Raw genomic sequence first — 26345 nt, 5'->3', positions numbered from 1 at the left:
TTCTAATCAGGAAGAAATCCTGCTCAACTCATGAAAATTATGCTACATAGGACTAACCGTTACAATAAAGATTTCTATCTATATTTTCCTTGGCATGTACACTTAATCACATTTCTGCACTTTTCAACTGTTGGTATCAATCTCTTATTTAAAAAATCAGTAATCCTACTTTTAATAATAAACCTTTTTTTTTGGTCTATTTGTGACAAATCTGTGGAGTGAGCTATGGTCTATCCCCTTTCTGTCAAGGTGCATTTCCCGTAATCTTTACATAATTATAAAACTCCTCGGTCAAGTGTGTGTAATCCAAAAAATAAGTATATACATATTCACACACTATCAAAAAAGTAACTTCCCTGCAAGGAAAAAGGAATAAAGCCACAGCCATATTTTACATACTACTTATATAACATAATATTTGAATGTATAATAAAATTACCAAACTGAAAATTCAAGATACTAATATTCCCGAAGTCCCACCCAAATTTTCAAAAGTTACAAAATCTGATGGAATTGGTACAAATGAAAGAACAGCAGTTTGTTTCGATAGAAGATGAACTGATACCGCATATAAAAAAGTAATAATTCACCCATTCGGCAAACTAGGAAGAGAAGTATCAATAAATAAAGACCGAAGACTGGATAAGACATTGTCACTACCCTCAAGGACCTGATGCCTAGATAGTAATGTAGCAAGCAGGTAATAAATGCAGAGTGAGGCACAAAGGAAGATGCAATCAACTCTGTATACCTACATTAAAAAGAGGGTGGTCGGCCAGGCGCGGTGGCTCACGCCTATAATCCCAGCACTTTGGGAGGCCAAAGTGGGCAGATCACGAGGTCAGGAGTTCAAGACCAGCCTGGCCAAGATGGTGAAACCCCATCTCTACTAAAAAAAATACAAAAATTAGCCAGGCACGGTGGCAGGCAACTGTAATCACAGCTACTCGGGAGGCTGAGGCAGGAGAATTGCTTGAACCCAGGTACCAGAGGTTGCAGTGAGTCAAGATTGCGCCACTGCACTCCAGCCTGGGTGATAAGAGTGAGATTCTGTCTCAAAAAAAAAAAAAAAAAAAAAAAAAAAAGGTGCGGGGTAGTCTTCAGAGGCTGTGATGTTTGAGATGGATTGGAGGATGAGTAGTTAAGATCAAGGAAGGCATTCCGAGTACAGGAAACAATATACACAAACTAAGACAACATGTGGTAACAAACTGAACGCAGGAGTTTACAAGACTTGCAAAATGTAAAACAATGTGACTTGTCACACTAATTCCTGTTCTATTTTGGAAAATAAAGGTTTTTTTTTAAACAACAAATAACTATGTTAAATGTAATAGGTTTATTATTTTCAAATGAGTTATTTTAAAAATCAGTTTTAGTATTTTTTTTTTTTTTTTTTTTGAGACAGTCTCAGTCTGTCACCCAGGCTGGAGTGCGGCAGCACAATCTCAGCTCACTGCAACCTCCACCTCCCAGGTTCAAGTGATTCTCCGGCCTCAGCCTCTTGAGTAGCTGGGATTACAGGAACGTGCCATAAGGCCCCGCTAATTTTTGTATTTTTAGTAGACATGGGGTTTCACCATGTTGGCTAGGCTCGTCTTGAACTCCTGACCTCAAATGATCCACCCGCCTCACCTCCCGAAGTGCTGGGACTACAGGTGTGAGCCACTGCGCCCGGCCTCAGTTTTAATATCTAATTTAACAGATATAAGCCACATAAAAAAAAAATTCAGTTTTTAAGTATGTAAAGGGGTCCTGACAGTAAAAAAGTTTGAGAAGTGCTCCATTTGTTGACATGGGTTTATAATATGCTGTTTATATATGTTTATAATGTGCTGTTGAATGAAAAGGGCTTTTACTTCTTTCCTGGTCTTTTAGAAATTATATATATTTACACCTATGTATAGCTACTAAATTTTAACTGGGACTATCTCTAGTACAAAAAAAATTGTTTTCTTTTTTTGGCTTACCTCTGTGTTCAAAAAGTTATAAGAAATATAATGTTACTAGTATGATAAAGCAAATTAAAATTTTTTTTTTCAATTATTTATTTATTTATTTTTTTTTTTATTGATCATTCTTGGGTGTTTCTCACAGAGGGGGATTTGGCAGGGTCATAGGACAATAGTGGAGGGAAGGTCAGCAGATAAACAAGTGAACAAAGGTCTCTGGTTTTCCTAGGCAGAGGACCCTGCGGCCTTCCGCAGCGTTTGTGTCCCTGGGTACTTGAGATTGGGGAGTGGTGATGACTCTTAATGAGCATGCTGCCTTCAAGCATCTGTTTAACAAAGCACATCTTGCACCGCCCTTAATCCATTTAACTCTGAGTGGACACAGCACATGTTTCAGAGAGCACAGGGTTGGGGGTAAGGTCACAGATCAACAGGATCCCAAGGCAGAAGAACTTCTCTTAGTACAGAACAAAATGAAAAGTCTCCCATGTCTACCTCCTTCTACACAGACACGGCAACCATCCGATTTCTCAATCATTTCCCCACCTTTCTCCCCTCTCTATTCCACAAAGCCGCCATTGTCATCCTGGCCCGTTCTCAATGAGCTGCTGGGCACACCTCCCAGACGGGGCGGTGGCCAGGCAGAGGGGCTCCTCACTTTCCAGCAGGGGCGGCCGGGCAGAGGCACCCCTCACGTCCCGGATGGGGCGGCTGGCCGGGCGGGGGGCTGACCCCCCCACCTCCCTCCCGGATGGGGCGGCTGGCCGGGCAGGGGGCTCCTCACTTCCCAGGAGGGGCGGCCGGGCAGAGGCGCCCCTCACCTCCCGGACGGGGGGCTGACCCCCCCACCTCCCTCCCGGACTGGGCGGCTGGCTGGGCAGAGGGGCTCCTCACTTCCCAGTAGGGGCGGCCGGGCAGAGGCGCCCCTCACCTCCCGGACGGGGCGGCTGGCCGGGTGGGGGGCTCACCCCCACCTCCCTCCCGGACGGGGCGGCTGGCCGGGCGGGGGGCTGACCCCCCCACCTCCCTCCCGGACGGGGCGGCTGGCCGGGCAGAGGGGCTCCTCACTTCCCAGTAGGGGCGGCCGGGCAGAGGCGCCCCTCACCTCCCGGACGGGGCGGCTGGCCGGGCGGGGGGCTGACCCCCCCACCTCCCTCCCGGACTGGGCGGCTGGCCGGGTGGGGGGCTGATCCCCCCACCTCCCTCCCGGACGGGGCGGCTGGCTGGGCAGAGGGGCTCCTCACTTCCCAGTAGGGGCGGCCGGGCAGAGGCGACCCTCACCTCCCGGAAGGGGCGGCTGGCCGGGCGGGGGGCTGACCCCCCCACCTCCCTCCCGGACGGGGCGGCTGGCCGGGCGGGGGGCTGACCCCCCCACCTCCCTCCCGGACGGGGCGGCTGGCCGGGCGGGGGGCTGACCCCCCCACCTCCCTCCCGGACGGGGCGGCTGGCCGGGTGGGGGGCTGACCCCCCCACCTCCCTCCCGGACGGGGCGGCTGGCCGGGCAGAGGGGCTCCTCACTTCCCAGTAGGGGCGGCCGGGCAGAGGCGCCCCTCACCTCCCGGACGGGGCGGCTGGCCAATTTTTTTAATAAAAAAAGGAGCATGTCAACATCCCTCATCCTTTAATTTTTTTTTTTAAGATGAAAGGGGAAATAAAGAAAGATAAAAGCTACTGAGTGACATGAAAACTGAAAGAACCAGGTCAAGGAAGCCAAAGGACTGAGGTGAGGATGTCCAAATCCTAAAGGCAATAAAGAAGGCTTCTTAAAGTTACTTCTTGACCAAGACCTTTGACCTTCATATCCCCATAGTACCTCATGCTTAAAAAATTGATGAATTGGTTAAACAAGGGGATTATATGAAAGAAAAAGGTAAACTAAAAGCTCACTTCCATTTTCTAAGTTAAAAAGCAGGGTGAGGGAAGAAAATCTAGTAGTAGTATTTGAATTCGGGTTCAAGTGCTGAAAAAACTTAATATTCCCTGTTCATCTGTGAATATCAAGAACAGGAGAAATATCCAATTAGAGGAACCAAAACATCTCCCAGTTTTTAAATGAAAGCGAGGAGATTTGAAAGTATATGCAATGGCAAGGGTGAAATACTTAATGAGTGGTTAAAAATAATGTAGTTATCATTAGATGCCAACATGGAATCCTAAAACACATTGTCATAGCAAGGAATCCTATGTTATTTCCTGACAGTTACTAAAATGGTGGATGGTTATTAGATATTTGATAGTTTCTGAAGTGTTGATTTTTCACTATTTGAACACAATACCACAAAAATACCTTTAAGTAGTAGACATAATACATATAATTATATTAAAATTATATAATATATAATTATATATTATATAAATTATTCTCTCTCTATATATATCTCTATCTCTATATCTATACCTATATCTATATCTATATCTATATCTATATCTATATCTATGGAGTCTCGCTCTGTTGCCCAGGCCGGAGTGCAGTGGCATGATCTCGGCTCACTGCAACCTCTGCCTCCTGGGTAGCTGGGATTACAGGCATGTGCTACCACACCTGGCTAATGTTTGTATTTTTAGTAGGGATGGGGTTTCACCATGTTGGCCAGGCTGGTCTCGAACTCCTGACCTCAGGTGATCCACCTGCTTCAGTCTCCCAAAGTGCTGGGATTACAGATGCGAGCCACTGTGCCCGGCCTGATATATTTACATACTCACTATAAAATCTAAAGTCTGGGCTGGGTGTGGTGGCTCACGCCTGTAATCCCAGCATTTTGGAAGGCTGAGGTGGGTGGATCAATTGAGGTCAGGAGTTTGAGACCAGCCTGGCCAACATGGTGTAACCCTGTCTCTACTAAAAATATAAACACTAGCCGGGCGTAGTGGTGGGCACCTGTAATCCCAGCTACTCGGGAGGCTGAGGCAGGAGAACTGCTTGAACCCAGGAGACGGAGGTTGCAGTGAGCCAACACAGTGCCACTGCACTCCAGCCTTGGTGACAGAGTGAGACTCTGTCTCAAAAAATAAATAAATCTAAAGTCTGTTCCATGGCTCCTCCTTCCCTAATTCCTCCACTCATACCACTTAGCTCCTAGACTTACAGCTACACTCATGCCTCAGGGTATATTTCTTGTTCCTTTGGCCAGAAATGCTCTCTTGGATTATTCACTCCAATCTTTATTTAGTCTCTGTTCAAATGTTACCTGCCAAATAAACTACCCTTCCCTAACTCCCATATATAAATTAGCTGTTGTACCCTTCCAACCTTCACAATTCTAGCCCTTTTACTGCTTTATTTTTCTTCAAGGAATTTGCCACCACTTAACATATACTTACATGTTTACTGTCCAACATCCCCCAAAGTCCAAGATCATAGAGCAAGAGTCAATAAACTGCTAATGTAAAGGGCAGATGGGCTTTGGGAGTCACAGCGTTTCTGTCCCAACTGTTAAGCATGGTTGTGTTCCAATAAAACTTTATTTTGTACTCTGAAATTTGTATTTCATGTAATTTTCACATCATGAAATATGATTATTCTTTTTTTGTTTTCAACCATTCCAAAAGCATTAGTTTATAGATCCTATAAAAACAGGCAGTGGGCCCAGCACAGCAGCTCACACCTGTAATCCCAACACTTTAGGAGGCCAAAGCTGGAGAAACGCTTGAGCTCAGGAATTCGAGACCCAGCCTAGGCAACACAGTAAGATCTTATCTCTATTACAAATAACAAGAAAATTTAGCCGGGCATGGTGGCACATGCCTGTAGTCCAAGCTACTCAGGAGGTTGAGGCAGGAGGATCACTTGAGCCTGGGGGGTCAAGGCTGCAGTGAGCTATGATTGTGCCACTGCACTCCAGCCTGTGCAATAGAGCAAGAGCCTGTCTCAACAAACAACAAAACAAAACAAAACAAAAACAGATGGTGGACTGGATTTGGCCCACTGGCCATAGTTTGTCAACCCCTGACACAGAACAAAAGAACTTGTTATGTTTGTTCACTGCAGTATACCCAGGACTGAGACCTAGAACATGCTAGGAATGTGAATGAATGAATACTATTTTATTGTTTATAAAACTCTTATGTAAGCTGTTTCTTTTATTGATCTTTAAAACAGCTTGTTAAAGAAGGCAGGGGAGAGACTATTATCCCCATTTATAAATCAAGAAATAGGTTCAGGGAGTGTAAGTGCCTTGTCTAAGATTGCATGCTTATAATAAATGGGTGGAGCTGGAATTGTAACTTAGACATTCAACTATATCATGCAGTATTAAAAGGAAGTATAAGTCTGGAGGATTACCTTTAGTGTGTCACATGAATTTGACTGTCCTTTTAGACTGTTTTAACCAAGAATTGAGTCAAAGCTATGCTTGTGAAAGATGCAGTTGTTACAAAGTTGAGAAGAATAGATAAAATGATAAATAAGTTTAAAAGTTAACATTTTATCCAACTTCAAAACTGGGTCAAAGCTAAGATGAAATTAATAGAGCAAAAGGGGAGAGGGAAATGACTAAGCAGTTAGTGACTGAAAAAATATCTTTGCTACAATACAGATGAGGGATGACATTTTCATTAACAGTGATTTAGTCAATCATTCTCAAGGGTGGGAGAGTGAAAGAAAGAAGGCAGTTATCTCCCATAAAGGGGAGGTATGTCAGCTCCTCTAACTTGAGAATCACTAATATGAAGGTTTTAGTTGAACAAAAACTGAACTGCTGCTTAAAAAAAAAAGCCTTTAAAAAACTGTCCCTATTTCATAAAGTAACAGTTTCACTACACACTGTATTCATCAGATAGTATCTACACTAAACGGTGTAACTCCTTGAATATTTTAAAGGGAGACTATCCGAGGCTTTTACATAATTTCCTCTTTCATATATTTAAATATTACAATAAAATTACTAGCATAAAATTAATTATATTTTGTTCCTAACCTAAAAAGGGGGGATTTAAAATATATAACCAACAAAAGATAAGATTTCCTAAATTTCAATTTCTTCCCATTCGTCTTATTCTCTTACCTCTAAAAGGGGGAAATAATAATAAACCAATCCTTGCAAGATTCAAAATTTCATTTTCACATTACTAGTATCTGTACTGAAAGTTTAAAAATCAGTCGCACTGAAAAGTCCTAAGTTTCATTTTCCCTAGAAGTGGCTTAATTTTCTTAGATTTTCATATACCATATTTTAGCAAGAATCTTAAGAAAATGTCCTAAGGAATTTATAAAACTGTAGCTTATTAGATAATCTTTTAATAACAGACCCCACACATTTCATCAACATTGCACCTATTCATAACTAGCTTTTATTTTTTATTTTTTTCTAGAAAGAGTCTCGCTCTGTCACCGAGGCTGGAGTGCAGTGGCGCGATCTCAGCTCACTGCAACCTCCGCCTCCCGGGTTCAAGCAATTCTCCTGCCCCAGCCTCCTGAGTAGCTGGGACTACAGGCGCCTGCCACCACGCCTGGCTAATTTTTGCATTTTTAGTAGAGGTGGGGTTTCACCGTGTGACCAGGCTGGTCTCGAACTCCTGACCTCATGATCTGCCTGCCTCAGCCTCCTAAAGTGCTGGGATTACAGGCGTGAGCCACTAAGCCCAGCCATCACTAGCTTTTAAAATTATTTCCTTGGGCCGGGCACGGTGGCTCACACCTATAATCCCAGCACTTTCAGATGCCGAGGCAGGTCAGGAGTTCAAGACCAGCTGGCTAACAGGGGGAAACCCTGTCTCTGCTAAAAATGCAAAAATTAGCTGGGTGTTGTAATCCCAGCTACTCGTCTCAAAAAAAAAAAAAAAAGTCCTTGACAAACACATACAAACGAACTTTAAGTTAAATATTTAACAACTGCAACTCTTTGTGGGCACTGGTGGATAATTCTAGACAGAAAAGGGAGAATTCTTTCGCTAGATAATATCCACATTCCACTTATCAGCAAAGGCCTGGTCAGTTTATACCACCCCAGTTTTGTATACTTTAGGAGCCAAATCTCTGCCAGCATGTCTCCCTGGTCAATAAAAATCTTTACCTCCTTCATTAGTCTACTGAATGTATTAAAGATTTCACCTCTTGGCCTTGACTCATACTCTCCTTGAAAGTTGTGCCTTTCTCCCTATCTTGGTCTGTCTAAATCCTTCCCATTTTTTAAGGTTGGGTTCTTCCAACCCAACCGTAAAAAGTGTTCAAAGTGTATTTGAATGCTTATCATAGCACCTAAAATATAACTGCTACTGATAATTAGTTCTATAGATACTAGTCTGCCTCCAAAGACTCAAGTTTTTTTGGGAGGGAAACTGCCTTGCTTTCCTCTTCTATATATTACAGGGTCTAGCAAATTAAATTACACATGGCAGGCAATGAGTAAATATTTACAAAATCCTTTTTGAATAAGAAGATGTAAAGGAAATGTTCTCAGTTTTAAAGATTATTATGAGGTACTATGGCAAAATGGAAAAATATAGGCTCTGGATTGGACAGACCCAGTTTTGAATTTCAGTCACTTAAAAATCTCTTTGAACCACATCCTCTCCCTAAAGTGGGATAGTATGTACTCCTTAAAAATTGTTGGGAGTTGTTACAGCTCTTTTAGAATTTGTGTAGCAGGTTTTCTGGTTTTCACCAGAAACCAACCTACCCAATATTAAATTTAAAAAAATTGTTGTAAAGATTAAATGAGACAATATATGGTCAAATCTTTAGCAGAATACTTAAAATATAACAGGAGAGGCTCAATAAATGTCAGCTACTGTTATCTTAACTGGTCACAGCAGGATAACTCTTACTTTAAATTATAAACTGAGCAAACCCTTCAAATTACTATCAAATTACTACTTCAAAGAAAATAATCCTCTTGTTCTAGAAATCCTTTGGGTCCTAGCCACTTTATATTCTCTATCATTGCCATCATAATAATCCCCACCAATAACTACACAACTTTTTACTGACCAAAAAAGCTTTATGAAAATGTCTGTTCCAATTTCCCTTTGAAGTAATAACACATATTTCAAAGTTTTTAAAGTTTTCCAAATAGGGTATACTTAAAGAAAGTATAATAGTAGTAAACTATGCCTCCGTAAATATTTATTTTACTTATTTTCACTCTAACCCATTCCAAAAGTATTCAAGAATAAATAGTTGCATTTATTTTTCCTGAAAGAGATATGTACAGGATGTTATTCTTATCCTGGTAAGTTCTGCTTGCACAGAATTCAATGCTATTTCCTAAGGGAGTTTTTCCCATTTGAAGATATTTCGGATGTTGCATCAAACTAAAAAGCTTCTGTATGGCAAAGGAGAAAATTAACAGTAAGAGGAGACAACTAAGTGACTGGGAGGAAATATTTGCAAACTATACATCTGATAAAGGGCTAATACCAAAAATATATAAGGAACTCAAAACAACTCAATAGCAAGAAAACAAATAACCCAATTTTAAAATGGGCAAACGGTCTGAACAGACATTTCTCAAAGATATACAAATGGGCAAGAGATATATGAAAAAATGCTCAACATCTCTAATCAGGGAAATGCAAATTAAAACCACAATGAGATATCACCTCATGCCTGTCAGAATGGCTATTATCAAAAAGACAAATGATAACAAGTCTTGGGCCAGGATAAGGAGAAAAAGGAACCCTTCTGTTGGTGGGAATGTAAATTAGTACAGCCATTTTGGAAAATACTAACAGCATGGAAATTCCGCAATATACTAAAATTACCATATGATTCGGAAATTCACTTCTGGATAGATAGCCAAAGGAACTGAAATTGGTATGTCAGAGAGATATCTGCACCCCCATGTTCATTTCAGCAGTGTTCACAATAATCAAGATACAAAAGTAACCTAAGTATCAATCAACTCAACAGATGAATGGATAAAGAAAATGTGTTATATACACACAATGGAATACTATACAGCTTTTAAAAAGAAGGAAATTCTGTCTTTTGCAACAACAAGGATGGACCTGAAAGATATATGCTAAGTGAAATAAGCCAGACACAGAAAGATGAATACTGTATGATCTCACTATAAGATATGCAGAATCTAAAAAAGCCTATGTCAGAGAAACAGAGAATAGAATGGTGGTTACCAGAGGCTGAGGGGTCAGGGAAGGGATGGGGAAAGGAAAGATATCAAAGATAGAAATTAGAGGGTATACAGTTACAGTGAGACTGGAAAAATAAGTTCTAGTGCTCTACTGCACTGCATGGTGACCACAGTTAGTAATAATGTATACAGTACTGGTTTCACTAAATAAAAGTTACTGTTATCTGTGTTTCTTAAAATTCTAAATAAACTAAATATTATTTTCCCAGCTGAGACCTGGAGATACACAGAATGTACTTAGAAATAAAATTGTAGATGTATATAGTTTATCATTATCAGCAAGAGATAAGACTTGAAAGCATAAAGATATATCTTAAATCAGAATCAACATTATAAAAAATAGATGCTGGCATTTCCAAATAATTTGCTTCACATTCACTCTTTCAAAAGTCATTTTAATAGTCTTTAGAAATTGTTTTCTCTATTAGTAGCCAATTAAGAGTTTTATTAGACATAAGTAGGTAGGGAAGTCAGGCAAGTTAGTTTTAAGTAGAGCAATTTCACTTTAAAACATTCTACAAACTCTAGGGAATAATTGCTTTTCTGGTATGTCTTAAACACTTGACTATTTACTAAAGCAATTATGTACATCTCACAACACATGGAATGGCAAACTTTAGGCTTCTCTCTAAGGCCTCTTTTGAACTAGGATTTGACACCCCACCCCGCCTCCCTGCCCCACATCCCCCTGTCTTTGGCCTGCCTAGCCCAGTTTTAGCAAGAATCTGCCCACCCTTGATATCTGATCAAGTTCTTCATTCCCTACTTTTGATGTGTAAGTCTTTGAACTGCCTTCAGCATGAATCCCCCTACCCTCATGGTCTCCTCTTAATAATTTTCTCCCCAACTCTGCTTATTGGCTATACGTAAATACCCAGCTGTCTTTACTGTATTAGGAGTTGAGCCTGATTTTTCTCCCCTATTGTAATAGTCTTTTCTTTGGTTTGTTTTGAGATGTCACCCAGGATGGAGTGCAGTGGCGTGATGTTGGCGCACTGCAACCTCCACCTCCCGGGTTCAAGCAATTCTCCTGCCTCAGCCTCCCAAACAGCTGGGATCATTACAGGCGCCCACCACCAGGCTCTGCTAATTTTTGTATTTTCAATAGAGATGGGGTTTCACCATGTTGGCCAGGCTGGTCTTGAACTCCTGATCTCAGGTGATCCGCCCGCCTTGACTTCCCAAAGTGCTGGGATTACGGGCATGAGCCACCACACCTGGCCATAATAATTTTGAATAGTCTTCTTTACTGTTTTAACATGCATTAGAATAATTTTTACTTTAACTAAGAGTCATTGTATTTCATACCACTTAGTAGTGTTTAAAAATGACACATTTAAGCATAACATTTACAACACACAGAAAAAAAATTAAAATGAGTGAAAACATCCCATAAGCAACTTGTTTAGGAGCTTAAATGTGCTTAAAAAAATACCCACAAGGTTAAAAAATTAGGAAAAAGCCTCTTTGAACCTATTCTGGTCCGGAGGTTGCCCAAGAATAAATAAAATAAATTAGGGAAAAATGACCACACCAGGTACCTTGAGATTCACGTGTTAGCGAGCAATGATGTAGATGTCAAGTTTGAAAGGGTAAAGTTCGGCGGTGAGAACCCAGGCTAGATGGAAAAAGCAGCAGTGGGAAACAAGAACGGTTTTGCCTTTAAGATCTGGTATGTATCTGGCATGTTACGGCATTCTAACTTAAAGTATATCTTTTTACCAATTTTTTTTTTCCTCAAAATCACTGGGAGTCAGATACAGTTTCACATGCCAGCTTTACTGCTAAATTGCTTGGGTCTTAGTTTCTTCATTTGTGATTATAAAACCTACTCATATCTAGGACTGTTTTAAGAACCCATGAGGTAACATGAGACAGACTCCCATACAGCAGATCCTTAATTTTCTTCCCTAAGCAAATACCTAGACATCACTGAATTCTGAGTTATGTTGTCTTTTAAAAAGTTCAGCTCTTTGTGTTTAACAATTTGTTCATTCACTCAAAACAAACCACAAAACAATTCATTTGGTCTCAGGCACTGAGGTGAATACTAAAGATAAAGACAAAGAGTAGGATTGTCAAAGAGGTAAGCCAACAAATTATCTTTTGCCTTAAATCAGTGGTTCTGGACCTTGGCTACACATTAGAATCACCTGGGAAGATTTAACTATATTGACATATGGGTTCCACCTGCAGAAATTCTGATGTACTAGTCTGGGGTAGGGCTTGGGCATCAGTTTAAAAGCTTCCTCAGGTGATTCTAACATGCTGTCAGGGTTGACAGCCACTACCTTAAGCTAATATAAAGTGCAATTCATCCTGGTAGATACAAACAACATAAGACGAATATAACATACAGTAAGCACCTTGGCTTTCCAATCTCTGTATACTTTACCACTGTTAACAAAACAATTTATACAAATAATAGCCCTCAGTAAAGATGTGCCAGCATTTAAAAATAACTTTAATTCAGGCTGGGCACAGTGAGCTCAGGCCTGTAATCCCAGCACTTTGGGAGGCCAAGGCAGGAGGACCGCTTGAGCCAAGGAGTTTCAGACCAGCATGGGACACAATGATGTCTCGTCTCAAAAAATAAAAAATCCGGCTGGGTGCAGTGGCTCACTTCTATAATCCCAGCACTTAGGGAGGACGAGGTGGGTGCATCACGAGGTCAGGAGTTCAAGATCAGTCTGGCCAAGATGGTGAAACCCCGTCTCTACTAAAAATACAAAAAATTAGGCAGGTGTGGTGACAGGCGCCTGTAATCCCAGCTACTCGGGAGGCTGAGACAGGAGAATCGCTTGAACCTGGGGGACGGAGGTTGCAGTGAGCCGAGATGGCACCACTGCACTCCAGCCTGGGCGAAAGAGTGAGACTCTCTAACAAAAATAAAAATAAATACAAATAAAAAATTAAAAAATAAAAAATAAAATAATTGCCAGGGCCGAGTGCCAAGTGCAGTGGCTCATGCCTGTAATCCCAGGAGTTTGAGACCAGTCTGGGCAATATAGTGAGACTGTTTCTACAAAAAAAATACTTAAAAATTAGTTGCGTGCCTGCAGTCCTAGCTACTCATTAGAAAGGCTGAGGTGGGAGGATCACTTGAGCCCAGGAGGCAGAGGTTGCAGTAAGCCAAGATCCCACCACTGAACTCCAGTCTTGGTGACAGAGTGAGACCCTGTCCCAAAAATAAAATAAAAAAATTAAAAACAACTATAATTCTAAGCAGCAAAACTGCCAAAGCAGTAGTACAGATAACATAAGGCACAGAACTTAAGAGTAAGGAGTTGGATATTGAGCTGGGTTGGTGGAGGACAACTACAGAGAAAAGGAGAAGCTGGGCTCTGCAAAGTACTTTAGATAGGGTGGAAGGGAGGAAAGGGAGGGCACTATGAGTGAGGGAATAAGAACAAAAAAGGTAGTGGGAAAACACTCTCTTGTTTGGTAGAACAGAGGATTTGGAGAGAATAAAAGAGAAGGATGAACTAAGGTAAGTCAGATAGCAGTAATGATGGTAATACCAAATCTGGTTTCATTCCGTATGTCATTGGCAATGGCCACTTGCTAAAGCTTTCTGAGGACAAAGCTCCATTAATAAAAATCTATCAGTAATACAGAAGTACTGGAGTCCTCAATATGGCCTCACAAAACTTGGAAATCAGACTGCCCTATGAGAGTTAACAATGAAATCAAGACAGATGCTATCCAAGCAAGATTCATGCATTCAACAAATATCAGAAGACCCACTATGTTTTAGGCAATGGTGACTCACTAGCATACTGTCCTCATGGAGTTTACATTCTAGTGGGTAAAGACAACAGAGAAGATTAAGTAAAATACTACCTGGCAAGTGATAAATGCTAAGGAGAAAAAACAAGGCAAAGAAAAGGGACAAGAAATGTTAGGATTTGCAACTGGACAGAATAACCAGAGAAAGCTTCACTAAGGAGATGACTTCTGGTTAAGTATCTGAAATGAGGGATACAGAAGGAAAAGAACTCCAGAGAAAAGAACAAATGCAAAGATTATTCAGCGAGAATACGTGATTGGAACAAAGACCAGAAGAAGAACATGTAGGAGATAAAGTCAGAGATAAATGGCAAAGAGGTAACATCCCAGAACATAGGGACTTAGAAAAAGATGGGAAGCCACCGGAGGGCTTTGAGCAGAAAAGTGACATGTACTGACCTACATTTTAACCAGATCACTCTGGATGCTTCATCGAGGACAGACTGCTGGGCAGGAGCAACAGCAGAAGCAGGGAAACCATAAAAAATAGTATTTTAATAATCTAGAGGTCACAATGGCTTCTTCCAGAGTGGTTAGAATAAGGGTGTGGTAAGAAATAGTCAAATTCTGGGTTTATTTTAAAGACAGAGCCTACAGGATTTACCAGTGGACAACAAGTGGATTGTGAAAGAAATAGTAGTCAAAGATAACACTAATGTTTTTGACCTGAGCAACTAAAGAATGGAAGTGTCATTAACCAAGGGCGGGCAGACTGTAGGAGAAGCTGCAGTATGCAAAATTTTGACACATAACCAGTCCTGCAAAACTCCCCTGCTAGTAATGTGATAACAAATGAACCTATCTAGAGGAAAAATGTCCAATGCTGTTATACAAAGACGTGACTTGGTTTTGGTGTTGGGTACATATGCCTATTATGAAACAAAATGCCATCAATACTTTGGACTATCTAGTTAACTTCCTTTGTTCTAATTCTATGCTCCATTAAAACATTCTAACTTGATTTCCCATGTTCCTGACCTATCTGAAAAAAAGAACTTAGTTCCTTCTATATGTATTAAATTGTTATTCCAGTTTTATACATTAGTTTCATAAGCCTAGCTAAAATGAGTTTATCCCCGAGAGAGACCTGGTTTAGTATCCTGATCAATCAAGCTTCTGAGCTAAATAAGCAGAGGACTAAGATTTGAACCACAGCAAGTTCACTAAGATAATGGTTCTCAAGTATTCCAATAATTATTGGGAGGCTTATTACAAATAATTCCTGACAACTGGTTCCAAAAAATTCTGATTCAATATACCTAGGATGGAACTCAGAAATCTGTTTTTGAAGGAAACACAGATTCTGCCATAGGCAAGGATGTTCTAAGATACTGTCATACTGTAAAGTTTCTCCTTGGCCTTGTTACGGGGACTTTAGTGATCTTTAAATTTCTAGAGCCATGTTTTTCAACACCTGTTTAATAACACAGCATAAATACTAGAACTCTTCACGGCATACTTAAGCTCAAAGAGCACTAAGCAACTTTTTTTTTTTTGAGACAGAGTTTCACTCTTGTTGCCCAGGCTGGAGTGCAATGGCGCAATCTTGGCTCACTGCAACCTCCGTCTCCTGGGTTTAAGCTATTCTCCTGCCTCAGCCTGCTGAGTAGCTGGGATTACAGGCATGCGCCATCACGCCCAGCTAATTTTGTATTTTTAGTAGAGACGGGGTTTCTCCATGTTGGTCAGGCTGGTCTCAAACTCCTAGCCTCAGGTGATCCGCCTGCCTCAGCCTCCCAAAGTCCCAAAGTGCTGGGATTACAGGCGTGAACCACTACGCCTGGCCCTTCTTTTTTTTTTTTTTTTTTTTTTTTTTTTTTGAGACAGAGTCTCGCACTGTCGGCCAGGCCAGGCTGGAGTGCAATGGCATGATCTCGGCTCACTGCAACCTCCTACTCTCAGGTTCAAGTGATTCTCCCAAGTAGCTGGGACTACAGGCGTGTGCCACTATGCTGGGCTAATTTTTGTATTTTCTCTAGAGATGGGGTTTCACTATGTTGCTCAGGCTGGTCTTGAACTCCTGGGTTCAAGTAATCCGCCTGCCTCAGCCTCCCAAAGTGCTGGGATTACAAGTGTGAACCACCGCACCTGGCCATTCAGCAACAATTATAATGCAATCAGGACCACAGAACACCAATGTTTCAGTGTCTATAAAGGCATCCAGGTTACTACATGATTAACTTGGTTGCTGTTTAGGACTATGTCATTATTTCATCAAAACTGCTTACTATCTTACTATCTACTTAAAGGAATCAAAATGGGTAAGAGCATAGGCTCTGACAGCAGACAACAGCATTGTATCCACTCTGCCATTTATTAGTTCTGGACACTTGGGTCATATATTTTAACCTCAAATGTGCCTGTGCCTCAGTTTACTCTACTGTAAAATGGGCATAAGTATCTGTCCTATAAGGATGTTGTGAGATAAATACATGGTTAATACATAGTTAGCACAAAAGAAGCACTTAAATGTTACCCAGATGTAAAACAAAGAATCCACAAAGCAAAGTTCTCTTACCACCTTCCTTTGCTACAGTCTGCCATTATGCTGTTTTCTTGTTTAAACAGTATGTTATACCATGACTACACTCAACAGAATTCGATCAATGTTCCATTTCACTGACACTGCCTTAACAATCTGTATGTGCAGTTGTACCAAAGATAAATTTTACACACTGCTCAAAATTTTGTAATACGTTATAGCTGTGAAGAATTTATGATAAACCAGGAAGGATGTATAAAGAAAGGAGAGGCCTGAGGCAGAGAGATAATTAAAAATGTTGTTAAAAATAATTCAAGCATAAAAAAAGGTCCTGAGTGAAAATAATGGTAGATGGAATGTGGACAGGTTAGAGATATTATTAAGTGAAAAGTGTGTCTGTATATGCATAGAATTAGAAAAGATACAAGAGGAATTGGTAATATTGGCTACTTGTCAGGGAAACTGGGTGGGTGGAAGACAGGGGCAGGAGGCGACTTTTTACTTGTGCCCTGTCCCACCATTTTAATTTTTTTTTTTTTTTTGGTAGAGACCGGGATCTCACTATGTTGCCCAGGCTAGTCTCAAACTTCTGAGCTCAAGTGATCGTCCCGGCTTAGCCTCCCAAAGTATTGGGATTACACGTGTGACCCAACAAACAGAGCAAATTTTAATTTTAAGCCTGTTATTATAGTTCCTATATACCTACAATTTTTAAATTAATGGAAATGGCTTTCAGGGCAAGGGTCACCATGGCAGCCACCTTGGTTAGGCTTGGGCTCTTGTCTGTCAAGCAGGTTCAGGTTCAATTCTACCCCTTTGAGAAGTAGAGATGATGAGGACCTTCCTCTAGATGATGAGTAATGAGAAGGTCCACTCCACCAATCTCAACTGCTCAGCTATTGTGGACATGAGGTGGACATGCAGCATAATGACTTCGAGCCCTGTGTGGACATGCTGTTCAGAGATGCTGTGTGGTCATCGCCTCATTATGTGCTGCACCCATCTCACCACTCTGGAAATGCTCACTGTCTTTGCCTCCCACATTGAGGCCAGAGATGTGGCAAGGAGCCAAGAATGTGCTGGTACTGGACAATGACAGTGCCAAAAAGACCAACAAGCTGATGTTAGACTGGACTAGAACACTTATCTAAAAAGAGGTTTACTTAATCATTCAAATCACTATCTGGAGGGCCACAGAGTAAGGCCCTCTAAATGCTTGGCAAGACCAAGATATCATAATTAGGAAGCTTACTTATGGGGGTGGGAAGCTGAAAGTCCTGTGAACACAATGTTTCTGGGTCAAGGCAAGATTATGGGGGTGTCTGGATGAACCTGAATTTATTTTACTTTCTTATGTCAATCACTGCTTATCCCTTCCAGTATGACTTCTCCCAGTGCTCACTCGAGGTACCTCTTCACTCTTATTTACCAAATCCAGTTGGAAAGAATACTGTCAGAGTGAGTGCTGTTTTCTCCGTCCTAATCTTTCTATCTCAGTAGCATTTGCCACTCTTAATTCATTCATGCCTTGGAAACTTTTTCCCTCTTGGGTCCTTTTTCTTTAAAACACACACCTGGGTGTGTGTTTTAATCTGATCGCTAAAGGAGAGTACTTCTAGCTGGTGAAGGAAATACTTTCATTAGGGGCTTTGCAAGGCTCCAAGTATATATATACACCATCATTTTGGTAACCATAAGGCTTTGCAGTTTATGGGATCTATTAGGAAGATGCTCCCAGAGGGGTCAAATGTTCCCAGCAGTGGCATGGCAGAGCACCAATGATGGCAGATGCTCAGATAGAAGGAATGCACAGAGGCACCCAAACTGTGGACATACTCTTGAATACAAGAAACACCTAGAGACTAACAGAAATAATTGTAGGGGAAGGGGTGTTTTACAGGAGATGAAGGGGTGTGAACTGGAGAGATATGAGAATTAATGAAGTTGTGTTCTCTTTCATACCAATAGGCTGTGCATACACTGTGTGCTTGGCACTATGCTAGGCACTAGATAAAGAGACATGGTTTCAATTATCAAGGAACTCAGTCTTGTAATCAGGGCAAATGTAGGAAAGCAGACAATGAATAGAACCTCCCAGAACATTTTTGTGTTTCAATTTTTAAAGTAGAGATTTTTCATTAGAGTTTGAAATAGTTAATTAAATTTTCTTGGGCTGGTTTGATCCAATTCCTCCCTACTTCTCTATTTTAGATGGAAATTGAGGCCCACCCATAGAGGTTAAGTGAGGTTTCCAAAATCAGTGACAAGGTGGCTAGAAGCACGAAAGGGAAAGGCCATATCTAACACTCACAATCACTCTTTTCCATTACATCATAATACCTCTTTTTTTTTTTTTTTTTTTTTTTTTTGATGGAGTTTTGCTCTGTTGCCCAGGCTGGAGTGCAATGGCGCGATCTCGGCTCACTGCAACCTCCGCCTCCTGGGTTCAAGCTATTCTCCTGCCTCAGCCTCCTGAGTAGCTGGGATTACAGACATGCACCACCACACCTGGCTAATTTTGTATTTTTAATAGAGACAGGGTTTCACCGTGTTGGTCAGGCTGGTCTCTAACTCCTGACCTCAGATGATCTGACCGCCTTGGCCTCCCAAAGTACTGGGATTACGAGCGTGAGCCATCATGCCCAGCCCATAATACCTCATTTATAATCCACTAAATGGATGTCTCTACTCTGGTTTTTCATTCATACCTATATGGAAAAGAAAAGTATAGTGAAAAAAGCATGGCTACATAATCAGAAAAACCTGGGATCTGAATTTTCTGACAAATTTACACTACTTTGTTTAGCATTAAGCCTGGTCGTAATAAAACAGCTAAGTGTTCTGGAAGAAATTATGATAAATCAGTACTACTAACAAGACTGGACATGTGAGTTTGCACCTGCTTATTAGGCTTTATGCTCCTGTCCTAGGATTTCTTTTTCTTTTCTTTTTTCTTTTTTTTTTTTTTTGAGATGGAGTCTTGCTCTGTCACCCAGGCTGGAGTGCAGTGGCACAATCTCGGCTCACTGCAAACTCTGCCTCCCGGGTTCACACCATTCTCCTGCCTCAGCCTCCCGATTAGCTGGGACTACAGGCACCTGCCACCACGCCCGGCTAATTTTTTTGTATTTTTAGTAGAGACGGTGTTTCACTGCGTTAGCCAGGATCTCGATCTCCTGAGGTCAGGTCTCGATCTCCTGACCTCGTGATCCACCCGCCTCGGCCTCCCAAAGTGCTGGGATTACAGGCATGAACCACCGCGCCCGGGCTTTCTTTTCTTTTTTTTTTTTTTTGAGACGGAGTTTCGCTCCTGTTGCCCAGGCTGGAGTGCAATGGCGTGATCTCGGGTCACCGCAACCTCCGCCTCCCAGGTTCCAGCGATTCTCCTGCCTCAGCCTACTGAGTAGCTGGGATTACAGGCATGTGCCACTGCGCCCAGCTAATTTTTGTATTTTTAGTAGAGATGGGGTTTCTCCATGTTGGTCAGGCTGGTCTCAAACTCCCGACCTCAGATGATGCACCTGCCTCGGCCTCCCAGAGTGTTGGGGTCACAGGCGTGAGCCACTGGGCCCGGCCTGTCCTAGGATGTCTTAACAGATTATATGAATACCTCTCAGCAAAACTAACTGAAAAGTGAAGATGGAAGAATGACAGTTTTAATATTAATTGATGACTTGTTAGAAAACAGCCACACCAAACAATCTTTAGGGCTTGCTTTATCCTACAATGGTAACTAGTAAATTAAGGAGGTAATACATAATCAAGGATCCAGTTTAAAAGCATAAATATTTGGCAGGTGCAGTGACTCACGCCTGCAATCTCGGCACTTTGGGAGGCCAAGGCAGGCGGATCACGAGGTCAGGAGTTTGAGACTAGCCTGACCAACATATTGAAACCCTGTCTCTACTAAAAATACAAAAAATTAGCCGGGTGTGGTGGCAGGTGCCTGTAATCCCAGCTACTTGGGATGCTGAGGCAGGAGAATCACTTGAACTCAGGAGGTGGAGGTTGCAGTGAGCCGAGATCGTACCACTGCACTCCAGCCCGCTGGGAGACAGTGCAAGACTTCGTTTCAAAAAAAAAAAAAAAAAGTATAAAATATTTTTCATGTGCTCTAACAAAGCCCTCATATTTCATCTATTTACAACATTTTCTACTGCTCTACTAAATAATTTTGATAAACTTGTTTCTCAAAAATGCCTTAACACCACTACCATTGTCTAAACTGAAAGCATGTAGTTTTTCTTAATACTGAAAACTTTATCTTATTACTGAAAGCATTGTCTAAACTGAAAGCATGACTTCTCAATTACCATACTTTTGAAATTGTACACAAATATTCCACTAGTTAGGCTGAAGGGAAAAAATATGCTAGTCACACTTTTTTCCAGCCCCCCAAAATTCTCTTTGCTTTTATGTTTTACAAATGTTGAATGAAATAAAGGAAATAGACAATGAAAAGAACCCAAAGAAGTAATTCATCTCATATTTCAGGATTCCTAATTATAGTATCTTGGTCTTGCTAAGCATGTAACTAAAGAGCTCAAGTTCATTCTCAGAAACTGTGAACTCAAAGCTACAACTAAAAGATTTATTTCTAAAAGTTATTACACTTTCAACTTCCTGTTTTATTTAGACAGCTCATCATGACCATTTCAGGTAACAAAACCCAACTTCCTCTTTATAAAGTGATTAAAAAAACTTCAGCAGTTATGAGAATAGATGATATTACTAGCTTTTACATAAATATTTACAAGGAAACTAAGAGTCCATTATCACCAAATTTTCTAAAGGTTCACTGCCTTTAGAAAATGTAACAAAGATAAAAAACAATATTAAAATATACTTGGCAACAAAAAAAGTATGCTAGAAGAGGAAACTGGTCACAGATCTGCTATTAAAAAAAACAATACTGGCTGGGCTCGGTGGCTCACGCCTGTAATCCCAGCACTTTGGGAGGCCAAGGCGGGCAGATCATGAGGTCAGGAGTTCGAGACCAGCCTGGCCAACATAGTGAAACCCCGTCTCTACTAAAAATACAAAAAATTAGCCAGGCTTGGTGGCGGGCGCCTGTAATCCTAGCTACTCGAGAGGCTGAGGCAGGAGAATCGCTTGAACCAGAGAGGCAGAGGTTGCAGCGAGCGGAGATCGCACCACTGCACACCACCCCGGGTGACAGAGCGAGACTCCATCTCAAAAAAAAAAAAAAAAAACCATAACCCAAGACATTAATGTTATTAATTAAAACACTGCCAGTATCTAAAGGCATCTTAATTGGCATTTTAAAATATATATTTTCCCAAGTTTAATTAAAGGCATTCTAACCTGGTATCAAAGACAAAAATCCAACAACACTGGTCAATGTGTATCAGGTAGGCACAATAAACTTAAAAGTTTATTATTTAAATTATTTGTGAAATTTTGGCCGGCCGCGGTGGCTTACGCCTGTAATCCCAGCACTTTAAGTGGCGAAGACGGATGGATCGTTTGAGCCCAAGAGTTTGAGACCGGCCTGGGCAACAAGACGAAACCCACTCTCTACAAGAAATACAAAAATTAGCTGGACTTGGTGGCGGGTGCCTGTAATCCCAGCTACTCGGGAAGCTGAGGCAGGAGAATAATTTGAACCAGGGAGGCGGAAGTTGCAGTGAGCCGAGCGAGACTCCGTCTCAAAAAAAAAAAAAAATTGTTTAGTTGTATTGTAACAGGATTTTTGCTTAATTTTATTTGAATAGTAACTATTTGCCTTAGAACAATTTATTATAGATCGATTTCCAGCATAGGCTTATACATAAATGTTTTTGTCCTAAATCTTAAACATGTATGAAGATCAGTTTCCAAATAAGAGAAAATCTAACGCTGTTGTCAATGGCTTGTTAAACATTTCAAAATGGCATGCCATATCTACATATATCAAGTTATTCCGTACAGAGGACTTATGGATCATAACAGTCCCCTTCCCATCCCAACTTCTTATTGAAAAAAACACCCAGGTAGATTTACAGAGCACTCAAGGGGACACATTTTCTAATAGCCACAGTGGGAGACAAATGTCATAATTCTTGTCCAATAAGTTGCCTTGTGAGGTCATTCTAAGTTCTACGTGCCCTAAAACCATGTACTTACTGAAAAGCCTGACAAACTGTTATGAAACTGTGCAACTGTCAGAAGAAAAGTTATTCCACCTTAGAATGTGCTCTTGTATTTAAGACCCTTTTCAAGAAATGAGCATACAAAATGCACACTGACAAATTCAACTGATCAAAGACTCCACAGTGGAGCATCAAAGAAGGCAGGATGCTTTGTTCAGTCTTGAACGTGTTAACATAAGGTTTATTATGTGTTACAGAAAACCTTTCTGGAGGTTAAGAAAATCCATCAGCTATTCTAGATTTGTTAACAAGAAACAAAATTTTCAAAAATTATCGTTAAAAGGGATGTGTCTATAGGGAAAGACTGGTGTTCAAATTCTGAAGCAAATGCCCTGAGGCTCACAGATTTATTATAGCGAATCAGACAGGCGACAGTACAGGAGAAAAGTAGTGCATGTGTAGGGAGATGGACAACATTTGGGACCTCTCCTTGTCGAAGAGTCGTGACAGCAAAATCACTTCCTGAGGAAGGAGGAGCAAAAGGGAAGTTAAGAGGCCATCCTGACCAGGAAGTGACTCGCCCTAAACTAACCCCAATTATATCTACAAATGGGGGGATGGGGTGAGCCCCAACTGCTAAAGGCGGTAAAATAACTGCTTTTTGATATGTCGCAACATAACCACCACCCTCTCGCAAAATTACAGAAAAAAGTCCACAGTCACGATCCAATAAAGGAAACGTCTGTTCCCTTGCAGGGAGGCCCCTGGGCTGTGCCTCAGGCCTGAGAGAAAAGGAGAGTCGAGGAACGAGGAACTGGGGCCACCGTGAGGCAGAGGAAAGCCCCCTAAGAGGGAAGCGTCCCGACTGCGGAGAGCGTATGTCAGCATGGACCAAGAAGCTTCTTTTTCCTGGGGACACTGCTAGGCTCCCAACGCAGCCGGGCCGGGCCCCAGTTCCCTGTCGGGGGAGGAGGTAAGAGAGAGAGGCGGACCCCTTACCTTCTCCTCATCCGACACACGATCATCGAAGTCGGCCATCTTGGGCTGTTCTGGCCCAGCCCGGCTACGGGCGCGAGGCAGGCCGGGAAGAAAGCCGAGTGATGGAATCACCGCGGCGGCCGTCGGAAGGACCCGCCCGGAAACGCCGACCAAGAGGGCCCCATGTCAGTTATGCGCGGGAGTGACGTCTCCTAACGCCAGCGCCCGCGCCCGCGCCCCAGGAAGTAGGGTTTGCCTTAGGTGATTTGAAGTCTAATATCTTTCCCAATGAGTTACACTCATTTCCCATCCATCTAATGGGCGCTGGCAGCGTGTTTCGATTATTCTTGGCTTCTGGCCTCCATCCGACCAAATAGCTGTTGCTACTCCTACAAGTTTTTCTGGTGCCCGTTATCTCCACGACAGCCGAATCCAAAGCTTTAAGAGCTGCTCGGCAGCTGGAACGATCGGTGGCTTTTCCAACCCCGGGGGGGGGGCGGTGTGAAAGGTGACCCTCATTTCGTTTGGAAGCGGTAACACTTCGGGGTCACATCTCAGTCCAGTTCCTCCAGAATAGGCGCTGCTGTCCGCCCCTTCCCTGCCCCACGAAAGAACAGGTAGCCCCAATCTTGAGACACGCTCCTCCACCTTCGAAATCTTCTCGGTCCCGGTTCCCCAGGACTCAGCCTTCACAGAGGCCAACTTCAGGTCCGCCACTATCCCAGGATTCCCGACTCCCGGTTTCCTGTCCTTCTCCCCTCCCAGCTCCTGGCGCCTGCGATAGCGGCAAGATGGCGGACCGTGGCGGCGTGGGTGAAGCCGCAGCTGTTGGAGCGTCTCCTGCATCTGTCCCTGGCCTAAACCCGACGCTAGGCTGGAGGGAGCGACTGCGGGCCGGGCTGGCGGGGACTGGGGCCTCGTTGTGGTTCGTGGCGGGGCTGGGGCTGCTTTACGCCCTGAGGATCCCTTTGAGGCTGTGTGAGAATTTGGCAGCGGGTGAGAGGACCAGACCTCCTGGGGCAGGGCGGGGGGCCAGGAGAGATGTCGGGGGCAAGAGCCAAAGGGCAAGAGATTCTCGGTAGTCCTAGAGGGCCTCTGAGGAGTCGATGATGAGCGATCAAGTGAGTTCTTTTTCTTTTGGGCTGCAACCTTGCAGTTGATTGACAAGCCTGCTGCCGTTACCGGCTCCTCCGTAGAACTCTTAAGGTCCGCCCTCTCTCTTATGTCCTCGTTTTTCCATGGAAAAGCCACCTGACAAGCTATAAGCTTCAGGTATTAGGACAGAAGAGTGTCTCAGATTAGGATACGTAATTTATATTGGCTCCCCCACCTCTGGTAGGATCCCTTAAAAGTCACTACTTTGAGTCTCCCGCTGCCCAGCTGAAAGAACTCATATCCAGGCAACAAAGATGAGCACATCTGTAATTTAAAGATTTCAGAGAAAGAAAATGGCATGATTTTAATTGAGGATTCTCTTGTTTTAAAATAGTTCTGTTAAGAAATCGTTTTCGTGATAGTTTTGTCTGTTCTTTTAGGCTTATCTTGAGTAATAAAATAGTACAGGAAGTGAGAGCGCCACAAACAACAGTGGGTTTGCTAGTTCTTTCGACGTCTGTAGAACACTTGCTACGTATTCTGTGCTGACAATACGAACACATGTAAGAAGTGATGATCCTGATGGATTCTCATATACTGTACTATTCTTTAGCTGTAGACAGGATGAAGTGTTTAGGGCCCAGGTCCCCTTACCATGTGATTATATTTCACTCAAGATCTGAGCAGCAACCTCAGAACAAGATATAAGTATTTCCATTACATGATTCAGTATGGTGGTTGATTTTTCTGAAGCAAAAGGCAGCAAATGTCCCCTTTCCTGTTCAGAGATGACATGAAAGACTGTGAGTTAATGTTCGGAAATATTTTGGTTTTTTTGGAGGATAGGTATCAAGTTCAAATATAACTAGCACTCTAAAATAAGCTAAACTGAAGAGCTAATTTGGCATCTCTGTAACAGGTGAATGAAGTGCTTAACGGTGGTTTCTATGCACAGTGTTACTGATTGACTTGTCATTTATTTTTCTACGTTAACCATATGCAACATTTAGATGAGAATAGTTGATTACTATAGATTTTTCTTTTTTACGTTTCGTGTGTGTGTGTGTGTGTGTGTGTGTGTGTGTGTGTGTGAGAGAGAGAAAGACAGACAGAGTCTCCCTTTGTCACCCAGGCTGAAGTGTAGTGGCAAGATCACTGCAGCCTTGAACTCTTCTGCTTAAGCGATCCTCTGGCCTCAGCCTCCCAAGTAGCTGGGACTGCAGGCGTGCACCACCACGACTGGCTGAGTTTTAAATTTTGCGTAGAGACTGGGTCTATTTTATTTGCCCAGGCTGGTCTTGAACTTCTGGCTACCAGTGATCCTCCTGCCTTGGCCTCCCAAAACTCTGAGATTATGGGAGTGAGCCATCCTACCTGGCCAGATTTTTATTTTCTTTCTAAAACCCACAGTACTTATGAGATAATTATTTGAAGTGAAAAATCTGCTCCAGGATTTCAGTAACTCAGGGAGATTTCTGTTTGTTGCTTTTCTCTTTGAGCCATTTTGCCTCTCTAGCTGATATACCAAATACATATGCTGTTTCCTTCCCTCTAATTTGAGACAGTGGTTTTGTATCCTACCAAAATAAATATGGAGTAGTTTTGAACCTCCTTTGTAAAAGCATATTTATCTTTTTATTCTTACAGACTTGCAAAAGTTCTATCTAAATTATGACTTATAAGTGCTTTAGTTTTATTCTCCAAAGCAAGCTGAATTACCTCATTTTGATTTGTTGCAAATAGTGATAAGCCATTATGTATAATATATATACAAATTAAAACTTTTTCAAGTGAATTTCACACTAGATATTAATACTACTTAAGTCCCACCACTCATAAAGATACTTGCATATTTGTAACCTAAGTA

The 26345-nt window shown here is 42.1% G+C and overlaps 2 protein-coding genes and 2 pseudogenes across 30 annotated transcripts in view, besides 5 other annotated features; 3 read left to right on the top strand and 1 right to left on the bottom strand.

Moving 5' to 3' along the window:
- Nucleotides 1-23456, bottom strand: part of CAPZA1 (capping actin protein of muscle Z-line subunit alpha 1) — a 51785-nt gene extending 28329 nt beyond the window's left edge. For all 3 annotated transcript variants that reach the window (XM_017002424.3, NM_006135.3, XM_011542225.4), the window contains exon 1: nt 23405-23456. In XM_017002424.3, the coding sequence (XP_016857913.1) occupies nt 23405-23443 (39 nt within the window). In that variant the 5' untranslated portion in view covers nt 23444-23456. The remainder of the gene's footprint in view (nt 1-23404) is intronic.
- Nucleotides 4798-5298: an enhancer, noted in NCBI's record as "H3K4me1 hESC enhancer chr1:113180612-113181112 (GRCh37/hg19 assembly coordinates)". NCBI's record gives its function as "activates a minimal SCP1, AML or CMV promoter by ChIP-STARR-seq in primed H9 embryonic stem cells {active_cell/tissue: H9 hESC(primed)}" and the evidence as "EXISTENCE:reporter gene assay evidence [ECO:0000049][PMID:30033119]".
- Nucleotides 7385-7484: a silencer, noted in NCBI's record as "silent region_1201". NCBI's record gives its function as "represses an Ori minimal core promoter by ATAC-STARR-seq in GM12878 lymphoblastoid cells {active_cell/tissue: GM12878}" and the evidence as "EXISTENCE:reporter gene assay evidence [ECO:0000049][PMID:35858748]".
- Nucleotides 8507-8559, top strand: RNU7-70P (RNA, U7 small nuclear 70 pseudogene; annotated as a pseudogene).
- MRPL53P1 (mitochondrial ribosomal protein L53 pseudogene 1) lies at nt 17063-17416 on the top strand (annotated as a pseudogene).
- Nucleotides 22776-23975: an enhancer, noted in NCBI's record as "MED14-independent group 3 enhancer chr1:113161935-113163134 (GRCh37/hg19 assembly coordinates)". NCBI's record gives its function as "activates an origin of replication core promoter dependent on BRD2, BRD4, P300/CBP and CDK7 cofactors, and independent of MED14, by STARR-seq in HCT116 cells {active_cell/tissue: HCT116}" and the evidence as "EXISTENCE:reporter gene assay evidence [ECO:0000049][PMID:35650434]".
- Nucleotides 23174-23623: an enhancer, noted in NCBI's record as "active region_1515". NCBI's record gives its function as "activates an Ori minimal core promoter by ATAC-STARR-seq in GM12878 lymphoblastoid cells {active_cell/tissue: GM12878}" and the evidence as "EXISTENCE:reporter gene assay evidence [ECO:0000049][PMID:35858748]".
- The window catches only part of ST7L (suppression of tumorigenicity 7 like), a 101882-nt gene continuing 99140 nt past the window's right edge, over nt 23604-26345 (top strand). For 19 of the 27 annotated variants that reach the window (XR_007061293.1, XR_007061292.1, XR_007061291.1 and 16 more), the window contains exon 1: nt 24147-24379. Coding sequence is in view for 12 of the 27 variants with exons in the window: in XM_011541628.3 (XP_011539930.1) it covers nt 24175-24379 (205 nt within the window). In the remaining 15 variants the exon portion in view is untranslated. Of the gene's footprint in view, nt 24092-24146; nt 24505-24918; nt 25042-25070; nt 25282-26345 lie in introns of those variants that run through there. The other 8 variants (XM_047423352.1, XM_047423341.1, XM_047423358.1 and 5 more) reach the window with 8 other exon arrangements.
- Nucleotides 24084-24183: an enhancer, noted in NCBI's record as "active region_1514". NCBI's record gives its function as "activates an Ori minimal core promoter by ATAC-STARR-seq in GM12878 lymphoblastoid cells {active_cell/tissue: GM12878}" and the evidence as "EXISTENCE:reporter gene assay evidence [ECO:0000049][PMID:35858748]".

Source organism: Homo sapiens, chromosome 1 (assembly GCF_000001405.40).
Source record: "Homo sapiens chromosome 1, GRCh38.p14 Primary Assembly".
Taxonomy (NCBI): domain Eukaryota; kingdom Metazoa; phylum Chordata; class Mammalia; order Primates; family Hominidae; genus Homo; species Homo sapiens.
The sequence above is the reverse complement of the archived record's forward strand: the minus strand, read 5'-3'. Positions and strand labels throughout refer to the sequence as shown.